Raw genomic sequence first — 23,139 nt, 5'->3', positions numbered from 1 at the left:
CGCTTAGGGTCCGAGGGTGCCTGGAGATCCACTCACGCCTGCTGTCCTCTCACGGCACGCCCCCCGCGTCCTAGCATGACTCTCCTGAGGTTGTGGCTGGAGAGTGTTTCCAGCAGGGTGGGGGTGCTTTGGAAACTTGCTGGGGCCCCCTCTCTACGAGACTGTTCATGTTCCGTCTGCACATGCAGATGTGTCTGAAGATGAAGTGTCTCCTCAGGACCTGTTTGCAGCAGAGCAGGTGCAGAATCACACACTATATGGATCCATAGTGTTTGCTCACGTATCGTTCATGTGTGTTCATGCATATTACACGAGTTATATGCACAATATGTAATAATCCATAATCCATCAAGATACGTGTACATATAAATGCAGACAGGCACACAGACATCCATATCTGTAGGTATACACACGCATGTACACATGCCCACAGGGCAACCGCAATCTCCACTGCCTACATTCCAGTTCTGCCCTCTTCTCCTTGTGCTTTTTTTTTTTTTTTTTTTTTTGAGACAGAGTCACGTTCTGTTTCCCAGGCTGGAGTGTGCAGTGGCATGAGCTCAGCTCACTGCAACCTCCGCCTCCCAGGTTCAAGTGATTCTCCTGCCTCAGCCTCCTGAGTAGCTGGGATTACAGACACGCACTACCATGCAGGGGTAATTTTTGTGTTCTTAGTAGAGATGGGCTTTTGCCATGTTGGCCAGGCTGGTCTTAAACTCCTGACCCCAAGTGAGCCACCGGCCTCAGCCTCCCGAAGTGCTGGGATTGTAGGTGTGAGCCATGACGCCTGGCTTCCTTGTGCTTCTTGATTGCTTTAATTTCTGAGAGAAATCTGCAAAGACTTCAGCAATGGCTGTGACTTTGCCAGTTTCTTCTTGAATTTCCATTTTGCCTTATAAATTTAAGAATTTTGCCTTATATATTTATATATAGTTTTTGCCTTATATATTATAATATTATAATATCCATGTTACATAATAGACCATGATCATAGTATCTTCCTAATGCATTTGTACTTTTATCCAATTACACTTTCCTCTTTGTTCCTTAAAAGGACAAACTTAGCCTTCCGTTCTGTTGGTCTGTGATGACCGTTTCCACGTCCTGCTTTCTGAGAGCATTTGCCTGGTGTAGACGTCCCCGTTTTCAGCGGTTATGCGTCCCTCTAGTTTCGGGTGAGTCTTTTGTGGATGGAAAATAGCAGGAACTAGTTGTGTTATGTCTTTATCCCAATATGAGACTCGCCACTTACATGCGTGGTTATTACTGTTACGGTTTGACTGTTTCCTGCCATTTTGGTTCATATTAACCATTCTTTAGTGATATTTTTTCTTTCCTTGATTTTGTTGTTTCATTTTATTCCTCCAGTGGTTTAAAGTCATTCCTCTATTTCTATCCTTCTAGTGATGCCCTGAGGTTTACTTCCTGCATTTTTAAGCCCACGTTTCCCCAGCACTCATGTGTGGCCAGCGTCTGATTCTTCCTCCAGAGCAAGACAGGGAAGCCACTGCACTTCAGCTGCCTTCACAAGTCTCCTCTGCCACCCCCGCTGAGGCCGTCTGGAAGTTTAATTCTAGGCTATTATTAAATTTCTATAAAATTGTTTCAACTTTACTGAGATATAATTCACAAATAGGAATTGTGTATAGTTAAGGTGTATGACTTGATGTTCTGATACACGCTGTGAATGATCACTGCAGTCAAGCTATTTCACATGCTCACACCTCACAGTGACTACCAAGTTGGTGAAAAGAGTAACTGCGGTGTTTGCAATTAGAAGCAATTATTTTTGCACCAACCTAAAATATTTTCTTTTTTTTTTTTTTTTTGTCGCCCAGCCTGGACTGCCGTGGTGAAATCTTGGCTCACTGCAGCCTCTGCTTCCCAGGTTCAATCAATCTTGCCACCTCAGCCTCCCCAGTAGCTGGGACTATGGGCACGTGCCACCATGTCCAGCTAGTTTTTTTTGTTTTTTTTTTTTTTTGTATTTTTAGTAGAGATGGGGTTTCGCCATGTTGCCCAGACTGGTCTTGAACTCCTGGCCTCAAGTGATCCACCCACCGTCGGCCTCCCAAAGTGCTGGGATTACAGGCATGAGCCACCGCACCAGCTTCTTTTATTTTCTTTGTGTGTGTTGAGAACACTTAAGATCTATCCTCTCAGCCCATGTCCAGCATCCAGTACAGCATTGTTAACCATGGCCACCTAGGACAGCGCTCCCCAGAAACTGAATTTGCCAGCACCTTGATCGTGGACTTCCAGCCTCCAGAACAGCGAGAAGAATCGCTTCTAGGTTTTGACCAGCCGGCCTGTGGCATTTTGCTACAACAGCCTGGGCAGCCTGCAGTGCTCTGTGCTTTGTTCTCTTTCATTTTGTTTTGTTTTCTGTAATTCACCTTTGAGAAACTCGTTCAGGAAGGATGCATGGGTGACATTTTCTGCATCCTCACATTTTGTCACTGGGTGTGGCCGGGTCTGTGAGTCTAGACACAAAGCCAGTCACCTGGGGACGCTGCCACCTGAAGGCCTGCGTGGCCGGGTCTGTGACTGTAGACACAAAGCCAGTCACCTGGGGACGCTGCCACCTGAAGGCCTGCGTGGCCGGGTCTGTGACTCTAGACAAAAAGCCAGTCACCTGGGAACTCTGGGACACCCTCTTCTCTCACCCATTGCTGTGGGGAAGCCTGGGGATGGGTTTTCTTGTTTTGGTTTTTTATCATGTTGGTGTTTTGTTTTGTTTTTTTTTTGAGATGGAGTTTCCCTCTTGTCTCCCAGGCTAGAGTGCAATGGCGTGATCTCGGCTCACTGCAACCTCCGCCTCCTGGGTTCAAGCGATTCTCCTGCCTCAGCCTCCTGAGTAGCTGGGATTACAGGCATGCACCACCACGCCTGGCTAATTTTTGTATTTTTAGTAGAGACGGGGTTTCACCATGTTGGTCAGGCTGGTCCCGAACTCCTGACTTCAGGTGATCCACGCACCTCGGCCTCCCAAAGTGCTGAGATTACAAGCATGAGCCATCGCACCCAGCCCATAGTGGTTTTTAAATCTTTCCTTTTGCCCTCATTGTTCTAAAATTTTATGAAGATGAAGACATATCTCGTGTCTCATTCACGGAGAGCCGATTCTGTAACAGCCGCTGCTCTGGGCGCCGGGAGAAACCGTGAGGAGCAGGCAGAGCTTCCGTCGCGGGGCCCACAGGGCCCAGGTGTGCATTATTTCCCTCCCATCAATCCTGTTCTTCTTCTGAAACTCTCAGTGTGCAGATGTTGGAATGTCTGGCTTCGTCCTCCATTTCCTTTTTTTTTTTTTTCATACTTTCCCTCTATCTCGCTCTGCTGTGTACAAAAAAACTTGGGCATTTTCAAGTACAAAGCAAAGGAAGCAATAAAGCATCCCCAGATATTTGAGGAAAGCTGACATCACAAAGTGGAGAATTCCTTGACTGTGTGTTCCAGGCACAAGTTCGTTCTTCAGCCTTTTCTTCCTGTTATTCACCCCATCACTTTTTAATTTTTTTTGGATGTCACATTTTTCATATTTATATTTTCAGTTCCGTTTTTAAGGCTGTATCTTCTCTATGGATAAATAAACCTGTGAAGACGTACTGCCCTTTTCTCGAGGGTGTTGTTTGCTCTGCTTCCTTGATACCTGCTGACTTTGGGGGCCCCTTTTTGGTAGTGATTGGTTTTCCTCAAACATTTGATGGTTCTGGGTTGTCTAGTGATTCCATGAAAATTGGTTGGCTGCATATTTAACCAATTTTAGGTTAAAATTGGTTGGCACCCAAAATAACAGTGGCTTTAACACACAGTATTCCCTTCTCACATAAGAAAGGACTCTGGAGGGCGGGGCCCTAAAGAGCCTGTCACCTCCCACTCCACCACACCCGGCGGGTGCCTCATCCTCATGGCCCCAGAAGGCTGCTGGAGCTCTGGCCATCGTGTCTGCATTCAGCCAGCTTCCGCTCACCCTCCCGCCAGCCCCCACCCAGATCTTGCTCACTGTGAGCTCTTCCCTCAGAGGGCAGTGACCTCTAAGAGACCACGGTTCACAGAACCCTCGCTTCCTTCAATGCTGAGGTCCTGGATGAGGGCACTGCCTGCTCCACACTGCCCCCAGCGGGCTGGCCCACGTCTGTGCTGTGGAACGTGCCCCTGCCTGTCTCCCATTTGCTGTTTGTTCTGCCCTTGGAGTCTTCACTCTCAGCCGCCTCACTGGAGAAGCCAGCTGACTCCTCCGCTGGAATGCCTGCTCTTCCCCGGCCTCCGACCCGGTCCGGCTCCTGCGGTCCTGAGTGGACTTCATCCAGGATTGTGAGGCCCTCGGGCAGGGATGGGTTTTATTCATCACTGCACCCCTCAAATCCCCATCCCCAGGGCACAGACAGGCTCAGCAACCAGGTAGGAAGGGATGAGTGAATGATCAGAAGGCCTCATGCCTGACTCGCAAAAAGTCCGTGGTCCACCAGGCATGTCCTGGTTTCCCATTTGGTTCGAAGAGCCGCTGACCTCTGTGGCTGCTGCACGGCACAGCCGAGGAGAGCTGGGTCCAGGCCTGGCTTTGCCAGCAGCTGCTGAGAGGACTGAGCAAGCCCTCTGCCCTCTCCGCACCCCAGGTCCCTCTACAAAAGGAGGCAAAACTTCCTCCCACAGAGCCGCTGTTGGTGTGTGGCTGGGCCCAAGCAGGCACCCACAGACAGCTCAGCCACGGGGCCCCCTGGGGGCACTGCTGGAGTAGGCAGCAGCCCCGGGTTGGAGGAGCAGCGCTTCTAGGAGTGGGCAGAGCAGGGGGCACGGTGGTGATGGGGGACAGCCGTGTGAGTGTCTACGGCCACTGCACTGTGCAGCTGAAATGGTTCCAATGGCGAAGTTCGTGTCATGGGTGTTTCAAGTGAGCAGAGCAGACGCCCATCCCCTTGGTGGCGTCCCTCTCTGGTCTGACCCCCAGGCACAGCCCCCACCCCTTCCCTGGGTGCCACCTTCAGCATGGGTGTTTCTAGATCCTGCAGACACAGAGCCGAGACCAGCCCCAGACAGTGGGAGCTCAGCCCGATGGTGCAGCTAGAAACAGGAGCACTGAGCACAACATGGTCCCTGGCAGAGGTCTGGACCCACGGCCAGTAACCGAGGAGTCACAGGCCTTCCCTGTGGCACCTGGAGGCTGGATTGCACGTGGAGGCTGCATTGCACATGGAGGCTGGATTGCACGTGGAGGCTGCATTGCACGTGGAGGCTGCATTGCACCTGGAGGCTGGATTGCACGTGGAGGCTGCATTGCACCTGGAGGCTGGATTGCACATGGAGGCTGCATTGCACGTGGAGGCTGCATTGCACGTGGAGGCTGCATTGCACGTGGAGGCTGCATTGCACGTGGAGGCTGCATTGCAGCAGGAGAGGGAGCTGGAGAGGGGTGGGGTGGGCCACATCCAGGCTGCTTTGTGGTTCAAACCCGCCACCTGCGAGCCCCTTGGGAGTGGCGGATGCTGACCACAGATGCAGCTTCCAGGACCTCCCAGCCCTGCTGCCTCTGAGCTTCAAGAGGGGCCTGAAGATCTACATTTTTATCAAACCCCAAGGTGACTCCGTCACAAAAGTTGGTGACGGGACTGATTCTAAGCAGGGCATAAGGGGTCAGTTGTGTCCTTGGTGACGCTGATGGGGTGAGGGGGATACCTGGGGACAAGGGGGTGGCTAGAGAGCTTTGGGTCAGGTGGAAGACAGAGGCCTGTCCAGGGAAGGGTGGGCATCACCTCGGCCAGTGCTCAGTGGCCAGGCAGCCCCAGGCTCCATCCGGAGCCTCTGCAGGGGTGCCAGGGCACATTGGCACCACCACGCAGGGGAAGCCAAGGAGGAGGGCATGTGGATGCCTGCATCCTGGCCTGGTGGGCTTGGGGACGATGCTGGAGCCCAGGTTTAGGAAAATGAAGACAGGGAGCTGATGGGTCAGAGGAGAAACTTGGGGGTAGGGCTGAGGGGCTGCAGGACATCCACAGGCTGCAGGAAGCTCACCGGGGGATCGAGGAGAACTTCAGGCAGCCGTCACACAGCCCCTGGCCCTGGACGTGTCAGGAACTTTATTTGTGGAAAGCACAGAAGAGCCAGCCAGGCCTGAGATGGCAGATTTAATGTCTTGGGTTTTACCACGTTCCCCTCCTGAGGGCCCTCATGGTTCACGCTCCTGTGAGCTGTTGACACCAAACCAGAAGGCCCCCACGTCCCCGCCTCCTGCTCATGCCGTCCCTGGCCACATGGCCAGCACGTGGCTCCCAGGGAGTAGGGAGGGAGAGCTTCTGCAGCCTCGTCCCAGGGTCCCTGGGGCCAACCCTGGCAGGGGCCCTCTGCGTCTCTTGACAGGCCTGGGCTTTGTCTGGGCTCCTGTACCCCCACGGAGTTTATCCTGACAGTCAGGAGTTCAGACAGTGCCCCTAGCCCAGGCCAGGCAAGGCTCCATGTTGAGGCACCTCGAAACATGGAGGCCCTCTTGGGGAGAGTGGCAGGGCCCCTTCCTCACAGACATAGGCCTGAGGGGGCCACAGGGGACCCCGACTCTCCGGGGAACTTGCCTCAGGCCAATGACCTCCATGGTGGATGAGCTGCTCGGGGTGACACAGCCAGGAAGGGAGTGGACTCTGGCCAAGGGCCCAGCTGCACAGGCCCAGCCCCTCGCCTGATGGCCAAGGGTCCCAGGGGCCCCTCAGCTCTGAGTAGCCTGTGCCCTGTCTTGAGCTCTCCTCCCGGGTCACCTTGACCCCTTCCAGTTCATGAGGTCATCTGCAGCAGACTTGCGGCAGCCGTGAGGGGCACTGGGTCCACCAAACCCCATCATGTGCAGGGCCCAGGAACAGCCTGAGTCCTGGCCAGGCTCAGGAGAGAGAAGCCCTGGTTTCTGGGGGGAACGTCTATGGACTGGAGCCGCCCAGCCTGAGGGCACAGTCAGTAGTGAGCCCCGAACTCAGCGGCTGCCTTCTGGAGGAGGGTCTTGTGGTTCGCATAGAGTGGGATGCGCCTGTCCACCACCTGCCATCGGATGGAGGCCCCCGAGTCGCAGGCGTGCAGGTTCTGGAAGAACAAGGGCACAGCTGACCCTCCCCGCCAGCCCTGCCTCTGCCCAGCTGAGCCCTACGGACTGCAGCCTTCGAGGGCTTGGGGCCTGCACACCCTCCCTTTACTCCTCTGTGAAATGGGAGGCAGGACCCCTGCGTCAGGTGCACCAGAGATGCACCCACAAGGCCCTGAGGATCCTTCAGGGGAAGAAGATGCAGGTGCAGCTTTGCCGGGAGCTATTTAGCCCGCATTTAAAGCCCGGGGTTATTTATGGAATTTCCCATCCCAGTTCTGAATTAGGAGCATGCAGGATTAATCCAAGTACTGGGAATCCACATCCCCATAAAGAGCTAAAAGCCGGCAGCCGGGGGCTGAGGGGGCCTTGCCAGCCTCACCCCTGGATGCCATCTTCGAGGCCTCCCTGGAGGACCCAGGTCCCAGAACTACACAGGGCCCTATGGTCGCCTGGCCAGCCCTGTGAGCTCTGGCCACCTGAGGTGGCTCCCCGGCCTCTCCCTGGTGCCCCCTTTGTCACTTTCTGGGCAAGACTCTGACCCTGTAGCCTCCAGTTTCTGGCCCTGGGCCCCAGGAGCACGGCCAGGTCCCTCCCTTGGAAGCCCTCGAGGCACGTCCAGAATCCAGACCCCGGTCCCCGCCTTCCCTCTCCCCGGAGGCCACGCCCATACAGAGTTCAGCCTGCCAGAATCCAGACCCCCATCCCTGCCAACCCCCTCCCCGGAGGCCACGCCCATACCCGTCCCTGCCTCCCCACTCCCGCCTCCAGGGAGGCCAGGCACATACAGAGTTCAGCCTGTTCAGCTCCACGTCATTCTGGTCCTGGAAGTGGACGCTGACGGCCACCGTCTCGATCCAGGCATTGTCCGTGTTCCTCGGGTCATCCATGTAGCCTTTGTACACCTGGATGGGCAGGGCAGGGTAAGCCCGACAGCGAGGGACACCTGAGCGGTGCCCCGGCCCACCTCGTGCCCTCCACCCTGACCCAGCTCTGAGCACAGCTTCCAGCACACACAGGACCCCGGCCCAGCTCTCCCCAGCCCCCGCCAGCCTGCCTGGGCCTGCAAGGCGGAGCAGCCCAATGCGGGCTTCATCCTGGACAGACACGTCCTTGCCCTGCAGAGATCTTGGAAACGCCTTGGAAACGTCTGCTCAGTGAAGGAAGACAGTTTCAAAGGCCACCTGTTGTAGGAGTCCACTCATAACAGACACCCAGAACCGGCAAATCCAAGGAGATGGGAAGCAGATGCGGGAGTGCTGGGGAGGAGCTGGGGGTGACTGGGGTGATGGAACGTTCTGGAACCGGATAGAGGTGGTGGCTGCACAATGTTGTGAAGTGCTCCACACCATGGCATTGATCACTTTTTTTTTTTTTTTTTTTTTTTTTGAGCGCAGTGGTGCAACCTCGGCTCACTGCAACCTCCGCCGCCTGGTTCAAGCAATTCTTCTGCTTCAGCCTCCCAAGTAGCTGAGATTACAGGTGTGCGCCATCAGGCCTGGCTAATTTTTGTATTTTTAGTAGAGACGGGGTTTCACCATGTTGGCCAGGCTGGTCTCGAACTCCTGACCTCAAGTGATCTACCCACCTCAGCCTCCCAAAGTGTTGGGATTACAGGTGTGAGCCAGCGCACCCGGCCCGTGTAGCCTGCTTTTATAAAGAGCGTCCATAAAGGGCTGGGCGCAGTGGCTCACACCTGTAATCCCAGCACTTTGGGAGGCTGAGGTGGGCAGATCGCTTGAGCCCAGTTCATGACCAGCCTGGGCAACATGGCCAAACCCTGTCTCTACTAAAAATACAAAATATTAGACGGGTGTGGTGTCTCACCGCTGCAGCCCCTGCTGCCTGGGAGGCCAAGGCAAGAGCATTGCTTGAGCCCGGGAGGTGGAGGCTGCAGCAAGCCAAGATCGCACCACTGCACTCTAGCCTGGGTGACAGAATAAGACCTTGTTTCCAAAAATAAAAATTAAAAAAAAAGTGTGCATGCATTTGTGTGAGAGAGCTGGAGATGGAGGCTTTCTAAGGAAAGATCGAGGTTTCTAAAGAAGTAAATAAAAAGTCCTGGTACAGTCGGTCCCCAGGCTGGGCATGCATGTGGGAAGGGCCCCTCCAGAGCTTGGGAGTCGGGGCGAGGTCTGAGGGAGGGGCTGGCTTCCCAGCACCCTTGGGCGCAGCTGTGCTCGAGGCAAGGGTGGATGTGGGGAGGAGGGCGGCACCAGGCCTCCAAGCAGCTGTCACACTCGAAGGCAGCAAGGGTCCTCAGCCCATCCCCCTTGATTTAGAGAGGAGAAAATGGAACAGAGAGGGAGGGCGAGATGTCTGAGGGGCCCTGCACACAGCTATGCTTCCGGGTCCTCTGGGAGCTGTGCAACGTGGGGGCAGGGGCTGGGACCACCGTCACCTGGTGAAGCTGGGTGGGACCGCTGCCACCCAGTGGTGCTGGGGCAGGTCCCCAGTATCACACTGTGTTTGTCCTGCAGCCCTGGGGACACACAGGTGGAACAGAGCAAACAGGCCAGGAATACCTCCATGCCGCACTTCAGCAAGTTTTCAAAAGACGGCCAGTGCTCCTGCCGGAGGATCCGCTTCAGCTTCCGAGGTAGCATCTCCCCTGGCTCCCGGGAGCCCTGGACAGACAGAGGACGGAGGCAGGTCAACAGGGCACCGAAGCGGGACCTCAGGCTGCCCTGGCACCCGTCTCCACTGGCCTCCTGCCCGGCGTGGGCAGCGGCCCAGCCCTGGGAGCCACAGGCAGGCGGCATCTCAGGCTGCAGTGACATTGCCCAGAACCCGCCGTCCACGTCAGCATCTGTGAGGCCTGCCGTGGCCCGAGCAGGGGGCACTGGGCTGCAGACACAACCTCTGAGGAGCAGGGACAGCCCCCAGGGTACCCACCCTGAGCTCAGACTCCCCAAGGGTGACAGGGCACCCCCTTCCCGCTCCCCTGGCGCCTGCCCCCGCGTCGCCCCTCCCAGCTCCCGCCCAGTGCAGCAGGCTGCCACGGCGGGTTCCCTGTTTGCATTCCCGTCTCTCCCAGTCCCACCCCGGCCTGTGCTGCGGCTGGCTGGGCTCCCAGACGCTCCCGAGCGCCACCTGACTCAGGGACCCAGCTCCGGCCTGCACCTCCTCCTCCCCACACCCATCTTTCCCACCCTATTTGTCATTCAAAGTCCCACTGAAACACCCGTGGGTTTCTCATGAAGACTTTGCAGGCCACGTCAAGACGGTCCCACCTCAGCCCCATGACACTCCCACCCTCAAGCGTGCGTGCCCTACAGAGCCAGGAACCCAGGAGGCCCCTCAGAGTGCCCCTCTCAGTGACCAGCCTGAGCTGACAGGGATGCCAGTGAGTGGGACCCCCAAACCCAACTCCACGCACCCCGCATGGAGAGGCCAAAGTGCCAGAGAGCGGAGGGTGACTCGTGTTCCAGGGCCAGGTGTGCACAGGCAGAGAAGCTACTGGGTGAGCGCAGCAGGGCAGCAAGGGGACCCCAAGGCCAAAGGCCCCCTCTGCTGCGGGGGTGGTTCCAGCTGTGGAGACAGGCCCCCAAAGCACTGGGACCCAGCAGCTGGGCCTGGGCTCCGGAGTCCCCGTTCCTGCCCAGAGGCCCTTGTGGCACTGCTGCCCTGCACACCGTGGTGGCACACACACTCCCACAGCAGCAGAGGCAGCCACCAGGCCGTGAGCTCGGGGTCAGAGAAATGCAACAGCTTCTTGCTGAGTTGTTGTAAGTCACAGACTCCCCGGATCAGGTGCAGAGGAGAGGCCCTGCGGGGCAGGCTGTACCCCAGAGGCCATGCGCCACGGCCAGGCCTGGCAGGACTCAGACCTCCTGGCAGGACCAGCCTCTTCCATCCCCTGCAGTGAGCGGGCTGGAGGGCTGCGGAGGCCAGGCTGGCCTGGGAGGAAACAGGAGCTGTTGGAGGCACTTGAACAGGAAAGGCCCAGGCCATCTGTCCTGATTGTGTGCACCCCTCCCCACAAGATGCTGGGGTGCGCTCCAGCCTCAGCCCCACAACCAGCCCCTGAGCTGAGGGGCCTGTGCACAACCCTGGGCCCTACCTACCCCTGTCGCTGCCCCTGCCCCTACTCCTGTACCTGCCCCTACCCCTGGATGACACCGTCCTATATTTATGGCTCAGCACCTGGCCCTGAAGGTCAGGAGCTGGTTGGTGTCTGAGACACGGGAGAAGAGCTACCTCTGCCCCCAACACCCTGAACTCCACAAGGGGAGCCCAGGTGGCCTCCAGCCGCAGCCCAGCCCATGCCTGGGACACAGTAGGTGCCCCGTTAGTGTTTATGCACCAAAAGATCCTCTGATCCTGGGTTTTCCTAACTGCAACATGAGGAAAAGGGAGGAGGAGTGTCTTCTACAGACAAAACAGGCGGGGTCTCGAACCCTCCCTGCCCAGGGGCTGCAGGGGGCTGCAGGGGGCTGGTGTCCAGTCCGTGGGCAGAATGGATGAATGGACGAGTGACCCACAGACAGCCCAGTGGACAGAGGTCCCACACGCGGCAGCCTTACCCCAGGCAGGGCCCAGTGCTCGGAGAGAGGGAGCTTCACCACCAGCACTTCCAGCATCTTCTTTATGCTCTTCCTGCAGATGGCTCCATCCTCGTTCCGCCTCCACCTGCGGAGAGAGCGGCCATGGCTGCCCAGGACCCGCTGCGGCCTCCACCCTCCCCTGCGCCGCGGCGGGGCTGGCCCTGCCTGGGGCGGGGCAGTGTCAGGCCCACTGCAGGCTCAAACCGTGTTCTTTTTCAAGTTCTTCATCCCCAGGGAAAAGACTGAGATAGTAACCACTTAGGGGACGTCCTTCTTCACTTCCATCATAGCTGGTAGAACTAGAAAGAGACCCAGCCTTCATGGAGAATTTTTTAAACATTAAAATCCTTAGAGAGGTACCTGCCCTTTGACCCAGCTTTGCAGTTTGACCACTCTTAGAAAATGCCAGTGGGAATCCAGTGAGGTGATGTGGGGTGCTGAGTGCCTCCCGGGGGTGACGTGGGATGCTGAGTGCAGCCTGGGGGTGATGTGGGGTGCCGAGGGCCACCTGGGGGTGATGTGGGGGTGACATGGGGTGCTGAGTGCAGCCCAGGGTTGACATGGGGGTGACATGGGGGTGACGTGGGGTGCCAAGTGCCACCTGGGGGTCACATGGGGTGCAGAGTGCAGCCCGGGGGTGACGTGGGGGTGACGTGGGGTGCCGAGTGCCACCTGGGCAGGCCAAGGAGAGGCCAAAGGACTGGGGAGCAGAGAGTGACTCGCACCCCAGGGCCATGTCTGCACGGCCAGAGAAGCCACTGGGTGAGAGTGGCTGGGCAGCAAGAGGACCCTGAGGCCAAAGGCCCCTCCGCTGGGGGGAGGTCCCAGCTGTGGAGGCAGAGGCCCCAGAGAGCACAGGGCACAGCAGCTGGGCCTGGGCCCCAGAATCCCATTCCTGCCCAATGGGGGCAGCAAGAGCCCCCGGCAGCTTCCTCAGGGACGCAGGCGTCTGCACCTGCACAGAAGGCGGCCCGTGCCTTGGGTGAGAGCAGTGGGCCAGCTGCTGGAGTGCAGAGGAGTGAGCCTGAGGGGGTGAGTGTGGAGCTGTGTCCCTGTGTGTGAATGGGTGTGGAGGAATGAGCCTGTGGTGGGGGTTGAGTGTGGGGCTGTGTCCCTCTGGATGAGTATGGAGAGGGTCTGAGGGGGTGAGTGTGGGGCTGTGTCCCTGTGGATGGGAGTAGAGAGTGAGTCTGAGGGGTGAGTGTGGGGCTGTGTCCCTGTGGATGGGTGGGGAGGAGTGAGTCTGAGGAGAGAGTGTGGGGCTGTGTCCCCGTGGATAGGAGTGGAGAGTGAGTCTGAGGGGTGAGTGTGGGGCTGTGTCCCCGTGGATGGGTGTGGAGAGTGAGTCTGAGGGGTGAGTGTGGGGCTGTGTCCCCATGGATGGGTGTGGAGAGTGAGTCTGAGGGGTGAGTGTGGGGCTGTGTCCCCGTGGATGGGTGTGGAAAGTGAGTCTGAGGGGTGAGTGTGGGGCTCTGTCCCCGTGGATGGGTGTGGAGAGTGGGTCTGAGGGGTGAGTGTGGGACTGTGTCCCCGTGGATGGGTGTGGAGAGTGAGTCTGAGGGGTCAGTGTGGGGCTGTGTCCCCGTGGATGGGAATGGAGGAGTGAGACTTAGGGGTGAGTGTGGGGCTGTGTCCCCGTGGAGGGTGCCCTCTAATGGGCAGGGACCGGCAGGAAAGTGAAGGCAGCCCCGGGAGAGGGGATGGGTCCTGGGATCTTCCTCCAGGATGGGCAGCATGGACATTCCTGCCCCATTTCGGGCATATTCACGTTTATCCACAGACGCCTCCCGCATCCCCCCAGTAGGCACCAAGTGCCAAGCATCAAAGCCGCCCTCCCGGCCCCTGAGCACTGGGCAATGGCAGCCGCCCCTTGTGAAGGTGGGGTGACCGCCTTGCTGAGGTGCTGGTGCCCGGCACACATGAACTCACCGCGTGACCATGGGGTACAGCGTGTGGTTGGGTCCGAAGCAGCTGAGGCTCCCGCGCCCACGCAGTCCTGTGCGGCCCATGGGGTTCCTGGGATGCAGAGGGGTTGAGTCAGTCCACCGTCCACCAATGGGGGAGCAGGACAGGGCAGGGAGGGGGACTGAGAGGGGACAGCGGGCGTCAGGAGCCGGCGCACAGCGGGACAGCATGCAGGCTTCTTTAGAGACCTGCTCTGGCCTAGGGAGTAGGATCCCTTTGGGACCCCCAAGGAGTGAGACCAAGGCTCTGGGTTAACTCGGGGTCACCTGGTGGGGGAAGGGTCTCCCTGGGAGCAGAAGTCCGGCCACTGCAGGCCAGCGAGGGGCTAAAGTGGCCACCTTCTCCCCACGGAGCATGGAACTGGCCGACTGCTCGGGCCAGCACTTTGCATCCAAAGGCCCCAGCACGCGAGAGCATGGCCTCCATCCTGGCAGCCTTCCGAGGGGCAGTGTGGGAACCAGGCCAGACACCCAGAGGCCCTGCGTCCGTGTGGCCACAGATGATAGGCCACACAGACCCCCAGCAGAGTGTGCTAACCACGGGCAGCAGGAGCCACAGACGCTTCCCATGGGGCCAGGCTGGTCTCCCTGACACCACCAGGTCCTATATGAAACAGCAAGTTCTAGAAACGGGCGATTTCCTGTGAATGTACCACTAAAACAGAAGGAAGAAATGCACTGCCGCTATCGTGCGGTGGGGGCGGCATCCACGTCTACAGAAGGTCCCCAGCAGCATCCCCGCCATAGTCCCCGACAGCATCCCTGCCACCGTCCCCGCCACCATCCCCGCCACCAGCGTTCCCAACACCAGTGTCCCCGCCACAGTCCCCGTCACCATCCCTGCCAGCGTCCCTGCCACAGTCCTCGCCACAGTCTCCGTCACCATCCCTGCCAGCGTCTCTGCCACAGTCCCCGCCAGCGTCCCCGCCACCGTCCCCACCACAGTCCCCACCACCATCCATGCCACAGTGGGGACAGTGGTATCGTTCCTCCACCATTCCACTCTGACCTCCAGACCCCATCAGAGCTGCAGCCTCTGACCCACCCCTCATGGCCTCCTCTCCCCACAGCCTAGACTCCATCCTCCTGAGTCTGCGCGGCAGTGCGTGGCTGCTCCAGGACAGCTGACCGTGGCTGCCCCAGGACAGCTGACCACCTCTAGCACCGGCGGCCACCAGCCAGGCCTGCGCTACCGTCCCTGACCCTGCCTGGCGGGGCAGCCTCCAGCTGGCCTCCCTGCCTCCACCCAGCCCCTCCTCTCTGTTACCCCTCAGCAGCCACCCTGTTCCCGCCCAGCTGTCAGGGGTCCCAGCTCTCGTCACACCTCTGCGCAGACCTGCCCGAGCCCACAGCGATCAGAGTCCGCACCAGAACATGCCCAGTGTGTAGGGCCCACCTGGCCAGGCCTCTCAGACAGCCCTCCCAGCTCACTCTGCGGTCTCCTCTGTGGCCGGGGGGCCTTGCACGGTGGGGCCCAGGCAGCCTCCCCAGAAGCTGCTCAGAAACCAGAGCCCCGGCCCCACCCAGCTACAGAGCTGGCAACACATGCAGCAAGGCTTGGGGACCTCAGCTCGAAGGCCGGGGCTCAGTCAGGGTTCCTGCGAGGGTCACTGCTGCCTCCCCTCAACCCCAAGCCCGTCTCTCACTCCCGTCCACCCCGCCCTTGCCAGCCACCATTCTCCTTCCTGCACTCACGCCACTGAGCGGGCAGAACCCAGAACCAAGGCCACGGACAAATTCGGCACTGGGCAGAGCTGCACTGAGCTCCAGAAGGAGAGGAAGGCAGAGGTCGTGCTGCTGGGAGCAAGGCTGCCTCGTCTCCCTGTAACTGCTGTTCGTGCTGAGTGCAGTGCATTGGTCAAGAAGCTCACAGAGGAGGCCACACGCTCTGCCTGGCATGAGTCCACCCCCACAGGAAGCTCTGGGCCCCAGGGCCCTGCTGTCATCTCACTGTCCCCATCCCTAGTCGGCCAGTGGCAGAGCCAGGAGGGAGGTTAGGGGCCTGCCAGCTCCTACCACATGCACGCTCGCTTCTGCCAGGAGGGAAACAAACACTCTGCACCCTTGCTTCTCAGTCAGCCTGAGCGGGCCGGGCAGCAGGGGCTTCGGACCACCATGCTGCCCTCCTCCCACCGCAGCCCCCACCCCACACCTGAGTCTTCAGCTGCTCTCACTGTGCCCTGATCTCTGATCCCCCGGTCATGATCTCGTCCATATGGTTCTCAACCCCTCATCTCCCTGCCACGTGCCCGGTAGTTCCATCACGACATCAAGGCATAGGCCCGTCCATAAACCTACGCACACAACCCCAAAGCGCAAAAACAGCGACAGTCTGGCTACAGCAATCACACGTTCATTCACTCATCCACTCAGCTCCAGAAATGCAGGTGGGTTGAGGGGTGGAGAGCTGGCCTATGGGTTGAACAAGGCAGAATCTTTGCTGACCTGACCTCAATCCATCTCAGAAAGAGGGGGCAAGCAAAGCCCAAGTGGAGTGGATTCGAAAGAGGAAGGGACTTGCGGGCAGGGGCTTGTTTAGTTTATGTTGGCAGGAGCAATGCAAGAGGGCAGGAGGACCCGGGTGCAGGAGGAGCAGGACATTCCCGGGATGAGGTCCTTGAAAGGCAATGGGAGATGGGTCTAGCACAAAGATGCACTGGGGTGAACAATGCCCACAAATGTATGTCCTTCCCAGAACCTCAGAATCTGGCCTTGTTCAGAAATAGTGTCTGCAGGTGTAATTAGTTAAGATGAAGCTACACTGGAATAGGGTTGGCCCTAAACCCAGTACGATTTATAATCCTAAGAACAGAAGAGACACAGACACGTGCAGGGAGAGGCCATGTGGCTAGGGAGGCAGAGATCACAAGCCAAGGAACACGAAGGGCTGCCAGGAACACCAGGAGCTGGAGAGGCAGGAAGAGGTCTCCCCTCAAGCCCTCAGAGGGAGTGTGGTCCTTGATTTCAGACTCCTGGCCCTCAGAACTGTGAGATAATCCATTTCTGTTAAGCCCCCCAGTTTGTGGTACTTAGTTACAACAGCCATAGAAAACTAATACAGTGAGGGGGCTGGCCCCAGACAGACGTGGGGACAGTCACTCCTATACCAGAAAGGGCATCTGAGTGTGTGAATGACTTGAGTCAGACAAGCTCACACAGGCTGCTGTTGTGAATGGGCCAAGAGGGTTAGGGTTAAGGTTAGGGGTTAGGATTAGGGTTAGGGTTAAGGTTAGGGGTTAGGTGTTAGTTTAGGGTTACAGCCAAACAGCTGCAACAACCCAGGGTAGAGACGGGCCACGGAGGACATTTCAATTTCAAGAATCAGCGTGTTGCCAATCCCGCTCCAACAAAAATGCAATAAAACTAGAAGGTGATAACAAAGAATGGCTTAAAAACTATAAGCACATGACCAGGCATAGTGGCTCACGCCCGTAATCCTAGCACATTGGGAGGCCAAGGCGGGCGGATCACGAGGTCAGGAGTTCAAGACCAGGCTGACCATCATGGTGAAACCCCATCTCTACTAAAAATACAAAAGGAATTAGCTGGCATGGTGGTGCGTGCCTGTAATTCCAGTGACTTGGGAGGCTGAGGTAGGAGAATTGCTTGAACTGGGACCCAGTAGGCGGAGGTTGCAGTGAGCCAAGATCGCACCACTGCACTCCATCCTGGGGTACAGAGCAAGACTCCATCTCAAGATAAAAAAAGCTAAAAGTACATCACTAAACAATCAAATGAAGACTATGCTGGGCGTGGTGGCTCACATCTGTAATCCCAGCACTTGAGGAGGCAGAGGCAGGAGGATAGCTTGAGCCCAGGAGCTTAAGATCTGCCTGGGCAATAGAGCAAGACCTCATTCTCCACAAAAAGAAAAAAAAAAAAGAGCAAAACAAAAGTGTAAAATGAAGATTATAATGAAATTCATAAAGTAAAAAATAAAATCCCTACACATCAAAATTTAAGGGTTACAGCCTACCAGGTCTTAGAGAGAATTTACAGTCTTAGGTACCCTTATTAGAAAACCAGGAAAGTTGAATAAAAATGAGCTCTAACACACAAATCAAGAGCAAATCCATAAGAAGTAGAAAGGAAGGAAAGATAACAATAAAAGCAAAAATGGATGAGATCGAAAAATTAAGATAATCAACAAATCCAAAAGTTAGTTTTTTGAAAAGATTATAAAATTAAGCCACTGGCAAGAATAATCAAAAAAAAAAAGAAGAGAAATACATAATAAATATCAATGCTCAAAAGAGAAATTACTATATATTTATATTATTTTTTAAATCATAAAAGAATATTATGGACATCTGTGACACAATACATTTCAAAAGTTAGATGAAATTATAATTTTCCAGAAAATTTACAATTACTAAAAAGGACCCAAGAAGAAACAGGAAATAAGATTCGAAAAATCATTATGGAAGATAAAGTAGTTAGAAATCCACTTGCTCGGCCGGGCGCGGTGGCTCACGCCTGTAATCCCAGCACTTTGGGAGGCCGAGGCGGGTGGATCATGAGGTCAGAAGATCGAGACCATCCTGGCTAACAAGGTGAAACCCCGTCTCTACTAAAAATACAAAAAATTAGCCGGGCGCGGTGGCGGGCGCCTGTAGTCCCAGCTACTCGGGAGGCTGAGGCAGGAGAATGGCGTGAACCCGGGAAGCGGAGCTTGCAGTGAGCCGAGATTGCGCCACTGCAGTCCGCAGTCTGGCCTGGGCGACAGAGCGAGACTCCGTCTCAAAAAAAAAAAAAAAAAAAAAAAGAAATCCACTTGCTCAAAATATGTTAGAGCTAACAGTTATATAGCTAAGTATTATCAGACTTTAAGAAACAAATAATTATCTCCACCTCATACAAACATTCTCTTCTTTGTAAAGAAGAGAAAAGAAGGAAAGCTGACCAGCTCATTCATTGAGACTGGTATAACCTCATACCAAAACCAAAGTAAGACAGTACAAGAAATATAAATTATAGGCAAATTCCACTTTTGAACACAGATTTTTTAAAATCTTAAGTAAAATGTTAGTAAATTAACTCCAGCAGTACGTTAAATATAACAGAAGAGTTTATTCCAGGAATGCAAGGATGGCTCAACACTAAAGGAGCTATAAAAATAATTCACACACTAATTGGCTAAAGGGGAAACATCTTATAACTATCTCAATCAATGGCAGAAAAACCATTTAGTAGCATTCAGCCCCTGACAAATTGGGACTAGATAGAAACATTCCTAATCCAATAAAAGGTATTTATAAATTTCTTCAGTAAATACCATACTTAATGGTGAAATGTTGATAGCATTTCCATTAAGTCAGAAACAAGGAAGCCTGTTAATATTACCAATATTCTAAATTACACTGAAGAATTTACCCAGCACAATAAGGCAAGAAAAAGGAATGAGGCATGATTATTGTAAGGAGAAAGACAATATTGTTATTTGCAGAATATATATTATTTACATAGAAAATCTACAAACACATTTATATAATTAACGAGAAGGTTTAATAAAGTTGTTAGATACAAAGTCAGCAAACAAAATTAATAATGCCCCTATATATATTTTTAAAAATTGAAAATATAAAAAAATGTTATACACCAGGCATGGTGGCTCATGTCTGTAATCCCAGCACTCTGGGAGGCTGAGGCGAGTGGATCACCTGAGGTCAGGAATTCAAGACCAGCCTGGCCAACATGGTGAAACCCCATCTCTACTAAAAATACAAAATTAGCTGGGCATGGTGGTGGATGCCTGTAATTCCAACTACTCAGGAGGCTGAGGCAGGAGAATTGCTTGAACCCAGGAGGCAGAGGTTGTAGTGAGCCAAGATCACCCCATTGCACTCCAGCCTGGGCAACAAAAGTGAAATTCCATCTCAAAAAAAAAAAAAAAAAAAAAAAAAAGAAAAAGAAAAAAATGTTATAATTACCCCAAATAACAAAAGTTATCAAATACCTGAGGAATAAATATTATTTAAAAATGTAAGATCTTTATGAACAAAATTATAAAACTTTAGGGAAGGACAAAGAGAAGACATAAATAAATGTTGACAAATACAGTCATAGAAGACTCATTATCATAAAAGTGTCCATTGTCTCAAATTTTTCTATAAATTTAATACAATTCTTATCAATGGATTTGTCATGGAGCTAGAAAAACTGGCTTTTAAACTCACAAAAAAGCTAAAGGCTCAAGACTAGAAAAGGCAGGTTTAAAGACATGCTATCCCAGAGTCAGGATTACTGCAACGCTGTGGCAAATAGTGGCATGATCTGCTATGAGATGACTGGGACAGAGGCATACAGAGCTTTGAAAGAGGAGCCACACCTCAGGGGAGGAGCCAGACGTAAGGGGAGGAGCCACACCTCAGGGAGGAGCCAGACCTCAGGGAAGGAGCCACACCTCAGGGAGGAGCCACACCTCAGGGAAGAGCCACACCTAAGGGGAGGAGCCACACCTCAGGGAGGAGCCACATCTCAGGGGAGGAGCCACACCTCAGGGAGGAGCCAGACCTAAGGGGAGGAGCCACACCTCAGGGAGGAGCCACACCTCAGGGGAGGGGCCAGACCTAAGGGGAGGAGCCACACCTAAGGGGAGGAGTCACACCTCAGGGAGGAGCCACACCTAAGGGGAGGAGTCACACCTCAGGGAGGAGCCACACCTCAGGGAGGAGCCACACCTCAGGGGAGGAGCCACACCTCAGGGAGGAGCCACACGTCAGGGGAGGGGCCAGACCTAAGGGGAGGAGCCACACCTAAGGGGAGGAGCCACACCTAAGGGGAGGAGCCACACCTCAGGGAGGAGCCACACCTCAGGGGAGGGGCCAGATCTTAGCAGGAAATGAAGTCAGGCAGCTCACTTTCTCTGTGAATTCACAAAATAAATCAGGCCCCTCCTCACACCTTATACAATCAGCCTTCAGCTGTATTAAAGTCTCAGTGAAAAAAACTAATTTTAAAATGTATCAAATGAATATAGGAAGGTGTGTCTTTATAATTTCATAGAAAGAGAACACACCTAAGGAAATATAATGAAAATATGATTCGCAAGTCCACAACAGAAGCATGGTGCATACAGAAAGTGCTCTTCTGCACTACTAAAGCCCGCATGGACACCACGTCCTGCCAAGTCCTGACACACCTGCCTGTGTGGCAGCCACCCGTGAGAGCAGGTGCTCACGCCTTGTTGCCCATGCCAGGCACCTGCTGCTCTCCTCGTCAGCTTCCCATAGCCACCGGATGCACCTCCCTAAACACCCGCCCTTGCCCGTCCCACATACCCCCAACACCAGAGCGGGCCGCCTGCAGCTGCAGCCACCTGGCCAGGACCTCTGCTCTCAGGCCCCATCGCCTCCTACCACCTCCTTACTCAACCTCCGGCTCCAGGCAGAGGAGCCCACACCCTGTTCCAGAGCATTCTGCAAAGGCCTGCCACGCAGTCCCCCCGTCCTTCAGACCCTTTGGTTCCTCTGCTCCATGGTTCATGCCCCACATCCCGGCAACCCCCCAGTCCCAGGTTCTGGTGGCCCCTCCTCCACCTCCTCCTCATGGCAGGGTCCAAGACTCCCAGGCTCCTTCCTTCCAGGGCACTTGTAGGTGCTCACAGGACACTTGACACCTTTATTTTGGGTTTCCTCACCTGTGTGATGGGTGCAGCGCCGATCCTGTGGGGAACAGGATGCCAGGCGAGGCCACCTTCCCGGCCAGGTAAGCCTGCCAGTGCCCATCTCCGTGTCCCCTCCCTGCCGCACAGCCCCTGCCCATCCTCTGAGGCATCGTCCTCTCCCAGCACAGCCATCCCCACGTACACAGACAAATCCACGTCCCCAGATTACGGCAGGGACCATGGGGCAGGGCCTGCCCGAGGCCAGGGGGCAAGTCCCACGCCCCCAAGCCCAGTCCTGGGGGCTACGGAGATGCAGTGAGTTGATGTTTTCTTCCTTTCGGTGGCTCACGTGCTTTTTTTGATTTTGTTTTATGAGAAAAATGCTTCCTTTGCCCAGAGAGGAAACCTGCCCCCCAGGCAAACCCCAAAGGCTGACGGGGCGGGGCCCGCAGGGGGCACACTCACAGGGGCAACCCGGCCTGCACTGTGTACGGCCCGTGGAAGCTCCGGCGGTCCCTCAGGCCATCCACCACGTTGTACTGGATCGTGGACAGTGGCTCCAGGGTGCTGGGAGCAGAGGAGAAGGCGTGTCTGTGTGCCCGTGTTGCAGGTGGGACAGAGCAGACAGGCAGAGGGATCACCCCCCCACCAAGGGCCCAGCCGAGTAGCTGCAGGCTGGGTGTACACAACAGTAGGAGCTGGGCCCCTTCAGGCCCCCACGGGCCCCTCCTGCTCACCTGGACCTCCCCGGGCTGGGCTCTGACTGGGATTCTCAAGGGAGCCCCTAGGAGGCCCTGGGTTTGGGGCCAGCTGGGAGCACGGACAGCGGCTCATACTCACTCTCCCATGGGGTCCATGGCGGCCGCGTCCTTCCTCTCTGCCGTGTAAAAGGGTGGGTCATAGATCAGGAACTCCGTCTGTCGCAAAACAGGGAGTTTTCCCTCAGATTTTTACCCCCACTGCAAAGCTGGGCCAGGCACCAGGGTGAAAGGGCTGCTCAGCTGGGTCTGAACCCGACCCCAACATCCCAACATGCAGGGCAGAAGCTCCAAGCTGGGCAGATCCGGGTGCCAGGCAGAGCTGGGGGCTGGGCAGGGCCGGGGGCTGGGATCAGGGACCCCCACCCTGGGGCCAGCTGAAGGGCAGGTGGCCGTGACTTGGGGGCCTTGGGGGTCTTCCCAGAGTGGGGCAGGGGGCTAAGCTGGACCCTAGAGGCAAGGAGGATTCTATGTGGTAGAGACCAAGGGGAGGCAGCGGAAGCAGCAGCCTGGAATGTTCTGGATAGGCCAGAGAGAAGCCCTGCACCAGGAGGGCGGGGGTCTCCCAGGGGCCATTAGCCATCTCTCTGTCTCTGTGTCTCTGTCTCTCTTCCATGCCTGGCACCTGGAAAGGGGCCAGAGCCATTCACCGGGGTGGGTGGGGTCTAGGACCAGGGCATGACCTGGGGGAATGGGGCCGGGGGGCTGGGCCCTGGGATGGTCATGGGAGGAGCCTAAGCCTCGAGCTCTGTGGGGATCAGTGTGCCCCCCTCAGGCCCCTCCACCACCTCCAGCTGTGAGGCCCCTGTGACTTGACTTCTCTGTGCCTCGGTTTCCTCAAATGTCAAACAGGGGCTGCCAGACGCACAGATCCCCCTGTGGCTGCAGTGGCTGGGAGCCAGGATTAATACCAGATGGATGGGGACAGGGCCGCCCTCCCCTCCCCAGGGGCCCGGCCACTCCGCCTGGTTGGGCTTGGGCAGGCGCTCACCTCCCAGGGCACCTTCTCGTTGGGCACGGGGAAGCGCGTGACAGGGCAGTTGGGGTAGAGGAGGTGCCGGGCATTCACGTGGTAGCTGTCGCCCGGCTCCTCCGTCTTCTTCCTGCCTCCCGGCTCAGCATCCGGCTCCTCCGCGGCCTTCTGGGAGGCTGGGGACAGTCAGGAAGACGTGACGCAAGGCGGAGCCCGGGCTCAGGTGCCCGCCCG

The 23,139-nt window shown here is 56.0% G+C and overlaps 1 protein-coding gene and 2 non-coding genes across 11 annotated transcripts in view, besides 4 other annotated features; all 3 read right to left on the bottom strand.

Moving 5' to 3' along the window:
- Window positions 6,107-23,139, bottom strand: part of TRPM2 (transient receptor potential cation channel subfamily M member 2) — a 92,504-nt gene continuing 75,471 nt past the window's right edge. For 5 of the 9 annotated variants that reach the window (NR_038257.2, NM_001433516.1, XM_011529736.3 and 2 more), the window contains 8 exons: window positions 22,924-23,081; window positions 22,015-22,091; window positions 21,640-21,741; window positions 13,534-13,620; window positions 11,584-11,689; window positions 9,583-9,684; window positions 7,846-7,962; window positions 6,107-7,059 (listed from right to left, as the gene is read on the bottom strand). Coding sequence is in view for 8 of the 9 variants with exons in the window: in NM_001433516.1 (NP_001420445.1) it covers window positions 6,934-7,059; window positions 7,846-7,962; window positions 9,583-9,684; window positions 11,584-11,689; window positions 13,534-13,620; window positions 21,640-21,741; window positions 22,015-22,091; window positions 22,924-23,081 (875 nt within the window). In the remaining variant the exon portion in view is untranslated. Of the gene's footprint in view, window positions 7,060-7,845; window positions 7,963-9,582; window positions 9,685-11,583; window positions 11,690-13,533; window positions 13,621-21,639; window positions 21,742-22,014; window positions 22,092-22,923; window positions 23,102-23,139 lie in introns of those variants that run through there. The other 4 variants (XM_017028457.3, NM_001320351.2, NM_001320352.3 and 1 more) reach the window with 3 other exon arrangements.
- Window positions 6,400-6,939: an enhancer, noted in NCBI's record as "H3K4me1 hESC enhancer chr21:45861695-45862234 (GRCh37/hg19 assembly coordinates)". NCBI's record gives its function as "activates a minimal SCP1, AML or CMV promoter by ChIP-STARR-seq in primed H9 embryonic stem cells {active_cell/tissue: H9 hESC(primed)}" and the evidence as "EXISTENCE:reporter gene assay evidence [ECO:0000049][PMID:30033119]".
- Window positions 9,641-9,716, bottom strand: LOC124905068 (Z6 small nucleolar RNA). The gene has a single exon (XR_007067943.1). It is a non-coding gene; the product is annotated as a Z6 small nucleolar RNA (small nucleolar RNA).
- Window positions 11,078-11,577: an enhancer, noted in NCBI's record as "H3K4me1 hESC enhancer chr21:45857057-45857556 (GRCh37/hg19 assembly coordinates)". NCBI's record gives its function as "activates a minimal SCP1, AML or CMV promoter by ChIP-STARR-seq in primed H9 embryonic stem cells {active_cell/tissue: H9 hESC(primed)}" and the evidence as "EXISTENCE:reporter gene assay evidence [ECO:0000049][PMID:30033119]".
- On the bottom strand, window positions 11,570-11,630 carry LOC124905069 (Z6 small nucleolar RNA). The gene has a single exon (XR_007067944.1). It is a non-coding gene; the product is annotated as a Z6 small nucleolar RNA (small nucleolar RNA).
- Window positions 20,442-21,353: an enhancer, noted in NCBI's record as "H3K4me1 hESC enhancer chr21:45847281-45848192 (GRCh37/hg19 assembly coordinates)". NCBI's record gives its function as "activates a minimal SCP1, AML or CMV promoter by ChIP-STARR-seq in naive H9 embryonic stem cells {active_cell/tissue: H9 hESC(naive)}" and the evidence as "EXISTENCE:reporter gene assay evidence [ECO:0000049][PMID:30033119]".
- Window positions 21,354-22,265: an enhancer, noted in NCBI's record as "H3K4me1 hESC enhancer chr21:45846369-45847280 (GRCh37/hg19 assembly coordinates)". NCBI's record gives its function as "activates a minimal SCP1, AML or CMV promoter by ChIP-STARR-seq in naive H9 embryonic stem cells {active_cell/tissue: H9 hESC(naive)}" and the evidence as "EXISTENCE:reporter gene assay evidence [ECO:0000049][PMID:30033119]".

This window comes from Homo sapiens, chromosome 21 (genome assembly GCF_000001405.40).
Source record: "Homo sapiens chromosome 21, GRCh38.p14 Primary Assembly".
NCBI lineage: Eukaryota > Metazoa > Chordata > Mammalia > Primates > Hominidae > Homo > Homo sapiens.
The sequence above is the reverse complement of the archived record's forward strand: the minus strand, read 5'-3'. Positions and strand labels throughout refer to the sequence as shown.